Consider the following 12,267-nt stretch of genomic DNA (forward strand, 5'->3'; position numbering starts at 1 on the left):
ATGCCTTCTGCTACCCAAATCAGGGTTCCTAATGCTCTTCTTCCCTGAGTCTCTCAATGAGCTTATCTGCACTGAGGATACATGATCTTCTCTAGGAAAGTGAAATTATGTTGAAGTGTGTGTCTCATCTCTCTCCAAGTCTCTTTGCCACTTTTCTTGTTCAAATCAGCCATGCCAATGGTTTTCTCATTTTTTTTTTCAGCCCTGCTGCATTTTTCTTTAAACTCTCTCCCCAACCCCTGTTGTTCCACAGCCATCCCCCCAAAGGTCTATAAATAGCCCGGGTATTAAAAGCTGAGATGTGCTTGGTCACACGTCCACATCCACTCCTTTTAGATTCCCACAGAGGCTGGGCTGGCGAGACCCTGAGGGGGCAAGGCAGACAGGAGACTGAGTCAGACACAAAGGCAGGCACCTTCCAGCTCCAGCGACAGGCCCCTCTGCCCCTGACACAGCACTCTCTGGTACTTCCAATCTCACCAGGGCCCTCCAACCACACACAAAGCTAAGACCCAGAGACAGAACACCAAGAAAGCCCTGTGTATACCAGCCATCTCAAACCACCCAGTCAACGCGTAGAGCTACTGATGAGAATGTTTGTAAGGAACACAAGAGGTACGAGGGCTCCTATTACAGGGTACTGCCAGCCACTGACCACGGAGTCTTTTAGAGCTGGCAGTTCTAGGAGGAGCATTCTGTACAGCACCAACTGCCCCTTTAGTAACCACCTGAGCACTGCTGGGGGCTCAGGTCTCCTGCGGAGCAGGCCTGGGTTTCCCTGGCCCATCCAGTGTTCAAGCATCTCACACGAGGTGGGCCTAGAAGGTTCTCTCGAGCAGGTCAAGGCCCTTGTCCCGCAGCAACTCACAGTTCAGAGCGGAGATTGTTACCACAGGCAGTTAATTTCCAAGGTATGACTTGTTTAGGGAATATAAGAATCTGGTAACACCAGGAAAGGTGAGAAGCTGAGACCCACAAGTTCTATCTGAGTTCTATCCCGGCTTAGCCTCCTACTGGCTTTGTGACCTCGGATAGGTAATTAGCAATCTAAGACTTGCTTTCCTCATCCAAGCTGTGGGGAACTGCTCTGAGAATCAGTAATGTAAGCAAAACACTGCTTAATCAATGTATGGAAGTTCTACATTAGTTATGACCTATCTTGGCCTGGGGTGGTGGTTCCAAAGAGGAACTTAGAAACAGACTTGGCCATAACCATGCTTCATCAGTAACTAGCTGTGGGAACATGGCTGAGCTATCCAGCCTCTCTGTGCCTCAGTTTCCTCATCTGTAAAATGGAAATCTGTAAGCAGCACCAGCCTCATAGTGTTGCTATGACATGGATTAATGAGATACCCTCTTGAAAAGATCCTGGCCCCTGACACGTGCCCTCCCTGGGACGTGCTTGGATCCACCGTGGATCTGGGAACAAGGCAGGCTCCAGCTGAAGGCCTGTGGACAACCACCGAAGGGTGCAGGGGCAGGACCCTGAAAGCTGCTTCCAACTCAGGATTTCAGTTCTGAGAAAGCAAACCTCATGACCAGTTAAGATGCAGCAGGAACAATTCAGTCAGAAAAGCCACCCCTCAAATCCTCAATTTCTTTCTCTCTACTGCAAAAAAGCCCCTAAATAGCAAATTGTTTTTAAAAATAAAACGGCAATATTAAAGAGGGCATAATTATGTCAACAGCATGAAACTCTGTCTTTTTAGAGTTAGTTGGGGGAGGAATGGTTTGCAAAGCTACCCAGGCCTCTGGCTGGCTTGGCACTGAATCCCGTTATAAAAGCCCTGAAGTGCTAATAGAAGGTTCCACTGTTCCCAGACTTTCTGTTGTCACTTTTTACATATTCACTGCATAGACAAAAAAGCAAGAGCTTAATTTTTTTTGCAAACTTAAAGGAAGAAGTTTAAGAACAATTGGAGTTGAAGGTAGATCATTATATCTCCACGGCCCCAAACTCCACTCTGGGGCACCTGGTTTTTTGTCTCAGTGGCCCCCACGGGGTTGTTGTGTGTGTGGGAGTCATTCAGGCCCCTCCTTGCTGTCAATCTTAGCACAGACCCTCACTCTTGCTTCCTGCCACAGTCTTAGACCTTGCTCTTGGATAACTTACAGGCTCAGGGAATCTCATGACTGCATCCAAAAGACCTCCTGACTGGCTGTGAGTCTTTGCTCAAGGCTCAGCAGTAATCGCCTTGTAAAAATAGCAAATGGGGCACTCTCTTTGTCCTCTTCGAGCCCTCTGCAGCATAAGATGTCCCTGGACAGACGGCCCAGCCTCCAGGGTGCACACACTGACCCACAGTACCCGAGATCCACACCTACCCTGAGACCTTCACACAGAAACCGAGACATCTGAGGGCTTCTGGGCCAGCAGCTCTTGCGACCAGTTTCATCCCAGTGCTTAATTATGATCTAGCATACTTTTTAGTTCAAAAGCTCTTTTAGGATGTAATGTAAAATGGAGTTTTTAGTAACTCTGGTAAATACTCGTGGTAAATGTTTTGGAGAAGCCAGGTTGTAATCACAGGGCCAAGTGGAGGCATTCACAGGGTAAGAGAAATTATCAAAGCAGGCAAAAGGTCCCGAAGACGTGATATGAGGTTGTGCATGTGGATGAAATCCTGTTCTGGGTGACCTACCCTACCCTACCTGGCCTCCGAGGGGCCTTGAGGAGAAAGCAGGAAGACTGCTGTGCCAGGAAGGCAAAGGAAGCCTTAACTCCACGCACATGTCTCTGCCCCTTTGACAGGAGGTGGAGCTATTTCTGGAAGGCAGAAAGCTTGCCCGATGTCACAGAGGTGGAAAGTACTGGAGCCAGGATCTAACCAGGGCTCCCCGCCCTGGCTCTGCTTGCCTTTCTTCTCCACTGCAACCCACTACCCAGCGTGTACCAGGTGGGCTCCAAGGCTTCACACAAAAAGGCTTTTGATTCCATGTGGCCCTGAAGGCCTCAAATTGGGCAGACCCTGAAGCCTGGAGGTTTGGGGTAAATTACATTTACTTCAGACTAGGGCATAACCAACCAGGGTAGGCTAAATTAATCTCACCAAAAAGGAATGTAATTCTGCCATTATTTTTAGTTCTGTTTTAAATTAATGATATTATTTCTTGATATAAGGGATAACTGAAGCACTACACATGATTATATGGCTCTACTCACCATAAAGAGAACACGCATAATAATCCTGTTCAATTATAGTGACTCAAACCTACTTAAAAAAAATGTGCTTAATAGCCTGCATTGTCCCACCTGAAGTGTTTTGTTGTTAGCCTGGGAGCAGTTCAGTGTCCCCCACCACAGCTGAGGCTTGACCCTGAGGCCTGGTCTCAGCTCCCCAGGACGCAGCACACTGCCCAGGGCTATGGAGATGAGACTTGTGGCCTGATTTCAAATACTGGAGGAGCCCCCACTGTCTGAACACAGCAAAGAGTGTGGCGCAGGTTCAAGGGGTGGCATGGGAGCCGGGTGCCCCACCCTTAGTGAGACCAGACCCAGAAGGGTGTGGCCTGATAGCCTTGGTTTCCGTTGCAGGGAGTCCTGAGGTCCTGAGTACCAGGAGCTCAGGGCAGTGCGGATGACTTGGGAGAAGCCTAGCTGGTTGGGCCAGTTGCTAGGGCTGGATGCTGGAGGGAGAACCACAGGGTTGGGGGAGTGTGAGCTGGCAGTCTCCAGGGCTACCTGCTGGGCTAAGCATCCCAGTTGCTCCTCCTACTGAAGAGACTCTGTTGCGCAGGAAAGGCAACTGTGCTGCACACTAGAGGGTTGTCCCAGTGGCCTGAGAGGTGTCCCTAGACCCCCGCCAAGGTTGGTGCTTGTACCTGCCCTGGAGAGCCTGGTCACGGGCTTGCCAGACCCAGCCATACCCAGCTCTGCCGCCCCCAGCCAGGGTGGTGGCAGAGTGCAGGACGGGATCCCTGGGAATCCCGCCCATGGCCAGGGAAACCCTGGTATTTCCCCACATCAACAAAGGCCAAAAATTCCACTGCTATTATTGCAACTGCCTCTCAACTGCAAGCGCCACCTACTGGCCTGTAGGGTGAACTGCATAACTCAAAGTAATTCCTGCTGACAGTATACAGCGGTGGGGGATGAGATAAGCCTCCTGAAACCTCCACCTCCCCATTTCTCTGTAGGAGACAGTGAGTCTGACCACTGGTCCAGCACACTGTTACTACAACCTACAAACAACTAGCATTTGAGAAAACCACTACACTAAAGCTATCTATAACCAAGTAATTCATAAAAGCCTTGGCCCCCTAAAACTACAGAGAAGCCAAGACAAAGGAACTTAACCAACATACAGAACAGTCACATCCTCAAGGTGGGGGAGGGAAGAAAAAATACCAAGCAAATGAAAGTAAATTCAAAAATAAGTAGTGACCGCTTCTACAGATGAGAAGAAACCAACACAAGAACTCCAGCTCCATGAAGAAACAATGTTGTGACATCCACATTAGCCCTCTAGCAATGGCTCCTAACCACAATGAAAACTTTGAAATGACAGATAAAGAATTCAAGATATGAAGTGTAAGGAAGCTCAATGAGAGCCAAGAGAAAGTTGAAAACCAACACAAAAAAACCAGAAGAGTAATTCTGGAGATGAAAGATGAGATAGATATATTAAAAACAAACAAAACAACAACAACAACTTTTGGAAATGAAAAGTTCACTAAAGGAATTTCAAAAAACAGTTGAAAGCTTCAACAATAGAGTAGACCAAGCAGAAGAATTTCAGAGCTTGAAGACTAGTCTTTTGAATTAGCCCAGATAAGAAGAAACAACAATTTTTTAAAAAAGAATAAAGCCTTTGAGAAATGTAAGATTATTTAAACCTAGGACTTATAGGTATTCCTGAGGGAGAAGAAAAAAAATAAGTTTGGAAACATATTTAAGGGAAATAATTCAGGAAAATTTCCCCAAACTTGCTAGAGATGTAGATATGCAGATACAAGAAATTCAGAGAACCCATTAGAGATACTACAGAAGATGCACATTCACCAAAGAATGGTCATCAGATTAATTCAAGGTCAACATGAAAGAACAAATTTCAAAAGCAGTTAGATAGAAGTGTCAAATCACCTATAATGGAAATCCCATTAGACTAACAGTGGACTTCTCAGCAGAAACCTTACAAGTCAGAAGAGACTGGGGGTCTATTTTTAGCCTCCTTTAAGAAAAAAGAAACGTAAGTCAAGAATTTTATATTCTGCCAAACTAAGCTTCAAAAATGAAGGAGAAATAAAGCCTTTCCCAGATAAGCCAATGCTGAGGGAATTTGCCACTACTAGACAAATCCTACAAAAAAATTCTCAAAGGAGTTATAAAAATGGAAACAAAAGGATGATACTCACCATCATAACAGCATACATAAGTAGACAAAGCTCACTGTATAAAGCAATTACACAACTGAGACTACAAATAAACCAGCTAACAACACTATGACAGGAATAACACTTCAAATACCAATATTAATGTTGAACATAAATGGCCTAAATGTTCCATTTAAAAGACATGGACTGGCAAACTGGATAAAAAAACAAGACCCAGCCATCTGCTGCCTACAAGAGACCCACCTAACGGCTAAAGACACCTACAGACTCAAAGTAAATGGGTGGAAAAATATATATCATGCAATGGAAAACAAATGTGAGCAGGAGTAGCCATTCTTATATCAGATAAAACAGACTTTAAGCTAACAACAGTTTTAGAAAAAGAGACAATGAAGGGCATTATATCATAAGAATGCATTCAATACAAGAGGACATAAATTTTGGAAATACGTGTGCAAGCACCAAAGCACCCACATTCATAAAACAAATACAACTACACCTAAAAGAAGAGAATGACAGCAATACCATAATAGTGGGGGGCTACAACACCCCACTGACAACAGTAGACAGGTAACTGAGGCAGAAAGTCAACAAAGAAACTCTGAACTTAAGCTAGACCTGATCAAATGGAAATAATAAACATTTATAGAACATGCTACCCAGCACCTGCAGAATATACATTTTTCTCATCTGCACATCAAACAAAATTGACCAGATGCTTTGCCATAAAGCACATTTCAATAAATTTTTTAAAAAATCAAAACCATATCAAGTATCTTCTTGGACCACAGTGTAATAAAATTAAAAATCAATACCATAAGGAACTCTCAAAACTGTACAAATACGTGGAAACTAAAAAACGTGCTCCTGAATGACTTTTGGGTAAACAATGAACTTAAGGCAGAAAAAGAAATTTTTTTAATGAAAATAGAGACACAACATATCAACACCTCTGGAATACAGCAAAAGCAGTGCTAAGAAATAAGTTTTATAGTGTTAAATGTCTATATCAAAAAGACAGAAAGTTCTCAAATTAACAACCCAATGTCACACCTCAAGGAACTAAAAAAACAAGAACAAAACCCAAAGCTAGCAGAAGAAATGAAATAAAGATCAGAGCAGAACTAAGTGTTATTGAGACCCCAAAAAACAAAACAAAACAAAAAAACCCACAAAGGATCAATGAAATCAAAAGTTGGTTCTTTGAAAGGATAAATAAAATTGATAGCTAGCAAGTTTACCTAAGAACAAAAGAAGATTCACATGAGCACAATCAGAAATGAAAAAGGTGACATTACAACTGATACCACAGAAATACAAAAGATCATCACAGATTATTATGAACATCTCTATCCACACAAACTAAAAAACCTAGAGGAAATGGATAAATTCCTGGAAACACCCAACTTCCTGAGATTGAATCAGGAAGAAACAGAAATCCTAAATAGACAAGTAGGGGTAATAAAATGGAATCAGTAATTATAAAAATCTTCCAATAAAAAAAAAAAAAAGCCCAGGACCAGATGGATCCACAGCTTTTTTTTTTTTTTCCTTTCCTTTTTTTTTTTTTTTTTTTTTTTTTTTTGAGACAGAGTCTCATTCTGTCTCCCAGGCTGGAGTGCAGTGCAGTGGTGCAATCTCAGCTCACTGCAACCTCTGCCTCCTGGGTTCAAGTGATTCTTCTGCCTCAGCCTCCCAAGTGGCTGGGACTACAGGCACGTGCCACCACACCTGGCTAATTTTTGTATTTTCTAGTAGAGACAGGGTTTTGCCATGTTGGCCAGGCTGGTCTCGAACTCATGAGCTCAGGTGATCCACCCACCTCAGCCTCCCAAAGTGCTGGGATTACAGGTGTGAGCCACCATACCTGGCCCTACAGCCAAATTTTAACAGCCATACAAACAAGAGGTGGTCCCAATCTTACTGAAACTATTCCAAAAATTTGAGAAGAAATTCTTTCCTAACTAATTCTACAAAACCAGTATCACCCTGATACCGAAATCAGGCAAGGACACAACAAAGTAAGGATACTGCAGGCCAATATCCCTTATAAAAACATAGATGCAAAAATCCTCAACAAAATACTAGCAAAGCAAATCCAACAGTACATTAAAAAGGTAATACATCATGATCAAGTGGGTTTAATTCCAGGGATGCAAGGATAGTTTGACATCTGCAGATCAATAAATGTGATTCATCACATCAACAGAACTAAAACAAAAACCATATGATTATCTAAATGGATGCAGAAAAAGCATTCAGTAAAATACAACACCCCTTCATGAAAAAAACCCTCAACAAACTAGGCACTAAAAGAACATACCTCAAAATAATTAGAGCCATATAGGACAAAACCACAGCCACTATCATACTGAATAGGGAAGAGTTGAAAGCATTTCCCCCTAAGAACTGGAATAAGATAAGAATGTCCACTCTCACCACTACTATTAAACGTAGCACTGGAAGCCCTAACCAGAGCAATCATGCAAGAGAAAGAAATAAAAGGTATCCACATTGAAGAAGAGAAAGTCAAATTTTCTGTGTTCATTTGATGGCATGAGTTGTGTTTTTTTTGTTTTGTTTTTGTTTTTTGGTAGGGTCTGGCTCTGTCACTTTGCTGGAATGCAGTGGCGTGATCTCAGCTCACTGCAACCTCCATCTCCTGGCCTCAAGTGATCCTCCCACCTTACCTTCCCCAAGTAGCTGGGACTACAGGCATGTGCCATCACACCCAGCTAATTTTTTTTGTACTTTAGAGATGAGGTCTCACTATACTGTCCAGGCTGGTCTCGAACTCCTGGACTCACCCACCTCAGCCTCCCAAAGGGCTGGGATTACAGGTGTGAGCCACTGCCTTAATCTTATATTTAGAAAACCCTAAAGACACTTCCGAAAGACTCCTAGACTTGATAAACGACTTCAGTAAAGTTTCAGAATACAAAATCAGCATATAAAAATCATTAGCATTTCTATACAACAATAATATTCAAGCTGAGAACAAAATCAAGAACTCAATCATGTTTAAAATGGCCACACACACACACACAACATACATACACATAATACGTAACAATACATCTAACCAAGGAGGTGAAAGATTGCCACAAGGAAAACTACAAACCCTCATGAAAGGAATCATAGATGGCACAAACAAATGGAAACACATCTCATGCTCATGGATTGGAAGAATCAGTATCATTAAAATGACTATACTGCCCCCAAAGCAGTCTACAGATTCAACATAATTTCTATCAAATTTCCAATGTCATTCTTCACATAATTAGAAAAAAAGATTGTAAAGTTCATGTGGAACAAAAAAAAAAAAAGAGCTTGAATAGCCACAGCAATTCTAAGCAAAAAGAACAAAGCCAGAGGTATTATATTACCTGACTTCAAATTACATGGCTCAAGGAACTAAAACAGCATGGTACTGGTAAAAAAAACAGACATACAAATCAATGAAATGGAATAGAGAACACAGAAATAAAGCCACATACTTACAACCAACTGATCTTTGACCAAGTTGACAAAAATAAACAATGGCAAAAAGACATGCTATTCAATAAATAGTGCTGGGAAAATTGGCTATCTCTATGAACATCTCTATCCATACAAACTAAAACATCTACAGGAAATTTTAGCCATAAGCAGAAGAATGAACCTGGACCCTTGTCTGAATGAAACTGGACCCCTGTCTCTCACCAGGTACAAAAATTAACTCAAGATGGATTAAAGACTTAAATGTAAGACTGGAAACTATAAAAGTCCTAGAAGAAAACCTAGGAAAAAACTTTTGGAGTTTGGCCTAGGCAAAGAATTTATGACTAAGCCCTCAAAAGCAATGCAACAAGAATAAAAATAGACAAGTGGGACTTAATTAAAAGATTCTGTGCAGTAAACAGACAACCTAGAGAATGGGAGAAAATATTTGCAAATTATGACAAAGGACTAATACCCAGAATCTAAAACGAACTCAAACAACTCAGCCAGAAAAAACAAACAATCCCATTAAAAAATGGGCAAAGAACATGAACAGACATTTCTCAAAAGAAGACATACAAGCGGCCAATAAACACATAAAGAGATGCTCAATATCACTAGTTATCAGAGAAATGCAAATTAAAACCACAATGAGATATCATCTTATACCACGGAGAATGGCTATTACTTAAAAGTCAACAAAACAAAAGATGTTGACATAAGTGTGGAGAAAAGGAAAGCCAAATACACTGTTGGTGGGAATGTAAATTAATACAACCTGTATGGAAAACAGTATGGAGATTTCCCAAAGAAATAAAAATAGAATTACCATTCAACCCAGTAATCCCACTACTGGGCATGTATGCAAAGGAAAAGACATCATTATATTAAAAAGACATGCATCTGTATGTTTATCAAAGCACTATTCACAATGGCAAAGACATAGAATCAACCTAAATGTCTATCAATGGTAGACTGGATTTAAAGAGTGGTAATATACACCACAGAATAGTATGTAGTCATAAAAAAGAATGAAATCATGTCTTCTGCAGCAACATGGGTGGAGCTGGAGGCCATTATCTTAAGTGAATTAACTCAGAAACAAAGAAGCAAATACTACATATTATCACTTAGAAGTTGGAGGTAAACAATGCATACACATAAACATAAAGATGGAATTAACAGACATTGGGGACTCCAAAATGGAGAAAGATGGAAGGAGGGGGTGAGGGTTTTAGAAATTACCTGTTGGGTAAAATCTTCACTATTTGGGTGATGGGTACAGTAGAAACTCAAACCTCATTATTATGCAATATATCCATGTAGCAAACCTGCACATACACCCCCGAGTCTAAAATTTAAAAATACGTTTTAAAATTCTGCTTTATAATTGATAGATTTCAAGTTTGCAGTGAAAATTAAAAAGATGTTGTTTTTAAAAATCCTTTTTTCTAAAGGAGATAAAGTTCTAGAAATAACTAAAGAGTTCTTGAAAGTCAAGCATGGTTTGCCAGGCGCAGTGGCTCACGCCTGTAATCCCAGCACCTTGGGAGGCCGAAGTGGGCGGATCACAAGGTCAGGAGATCGAGATCATCCTGGCTAACACGGTGAAACCGTCTCTACTAAAAATACAAAAAATTAGCCGGGCGTAGTGGCAGGCGCCTGTAGTCCCAGCTACTTGGGAGGCTGAGGCGGGAGAATGGCGTGAACCGGGGAGGCGGAGCTTGCAGTGAGCCGAGATTGCGCCACTGCACTCCAGCTTGGGCGACCAGAGCAAGACTCTGTCTCAAAAAAAAAAAAAAAAGTCAACCATGGTTTTCAGAGACCCTAATAGGACTTTCCACAGTGAACAAGTCTCACTGGCTAAGGGGGTGGACAACAAGATTCAAAGCAGTAGCCTCTACCCTTGTTTTATACCAAGTAGACAGGCTTATTTGGAAGAATCAGTTTTGATGTGCTCATCTGCCATTTTTTTAAACTTTTCTAAAATGGATATGCATAGCCTGTTATTTTGAAAAACATGTTTTTATAAAATAGAATCATTTTGTCAAAAATAAAATTGAAAACCACTTTTAAAAAATCTCCATTGGTGGATTAAAGGGGAGCAAAGATAAGAAAGTATGGCATGAAAGGCATCTGGGCTGTGACCCCCAGTACCAGTGTCCTTGCTGGGGTCATCTCTAGAAAGGTTTAATCTGGGCTGAAGATACAACCTGAGGGCTCCTCCCAAACAGGGGCAGGGCCCTCTTGGAGCTACTGTCCTTTGGGGCTAAGATTCCAGAAGGGACACAGTTAGCTTGCTTTACAGTCAGCTAGAGATTTCTGTTTTCACACATGACTCCTTGTTGGGTATGGTTTTTGGCTCTAAGGATGCTGGAGATCCCCAAATGGGCTATGTGCCACAATCTGAATTCCTACTTCAATTGTGTGGTCATGACAGAGGCAGGTCCAGCAGGCACAGAAGGACATGTTGGAGGAATGGCTGCCCCCTTCGAGGTAATCTTCAGATGGGTGACATCATGGAGGAAGCCTGTGGTACATCTGGAGACACCATGACACCACATTAGGTTTACTGCAAGGCCAAGCATTTAGTCCTGTGCCCCTCCACCCTTCTCTTTAGAAGGTGCTGAACTTCAAGAGGATGTTGTAACCCACGACTGTATTTTACTTAGTATTAGAATTTATGCATTTTCCCTTGAGTCAGACATTGCTACAAAACTTGACCATAAAGAGAATTTCACTTGTCCTCTCAAACCTATGAGGAGAGCCAGCATTCTCTCTCTTCTCTCTGTAGCTTATTTGCCATCCAAATCATCTCACATTTAAAATCTTCCTTTTCTTCTGATATCTCACTGACCTCATCCATGATATCCAGGAGTATGAGCTGAAGTTTTTCCTAAATTGGAATTAACTTTGGGACTCTCACCTCTATCTAATCTATTCCTTGTACATTGTTTACAGCACTGAACTGTTTTTCTTGTAGATGGACTCAGGGGAGGGCCTCTGTGGCCTTCCATCCTCAGCTTTGCCGGATCCCAGCCCTATGGAGCTGAGCACAGAAAGGCAGGCTGTAGTGCCTGGAGCCTCAGTTTTTCACGTGACACAGGCACAGCACCATCTCCTCTCCAGGGCTAGTCACGCAGGCTCATGGGAACGCGGTCCTGCTGCCAATCCAGTGAGCGCCTACCACCGTTGCTGGGAACAATTTTTTTGTCTTTCTTCCTCTCCTAAGCTCCTGGACAGAGAGTCACATCTTGCTCACTCTTCCTCACTCTTGCTTGCTCTTGCTCACTCTGCACTGTCCACCTGTTCGTCTGTTCGATGAATGAACCCTAGGAAAGAGTTGCTTGCATCACTTCTACTATGCTTGAATTTTATACTCATCAAAAAAGGTGGGGGGGTAGCCTTCATTCAAACCTACAGCTTCTTCCACTCTCAGCCGAAACGTTTTGC

At 42.3% G+C, this 12,267-nt stretch overlaps 1 protein-coding gene across 42 annotated transcripts in view; it reads right to left on the reverse strand.

Annotated features, from left to right (window-relative positions):
* The window catches only part of GRB10 (growth factor receptor bound protein 10), a 203,386-nt gene that overhangs the window by 39,004 nt on the left and 152,115 nt on the right, over positions 1-12,267 (reverse strand). The window lies entirely within an intron of this gene.

This window comes from Homo sapiens, chromosome 7, assembly GCF_000001405.40.
Source record: "Homo sapiens chromosome 7, GRCh38.p14 Primary Assembly".
Classification (NCBI taxonomy): domain Eukaryota; kingdom Metazoa; phylum Chordata; class Mammalia; order Primates; family Hominidae; genus Homo; species Homo sapiens.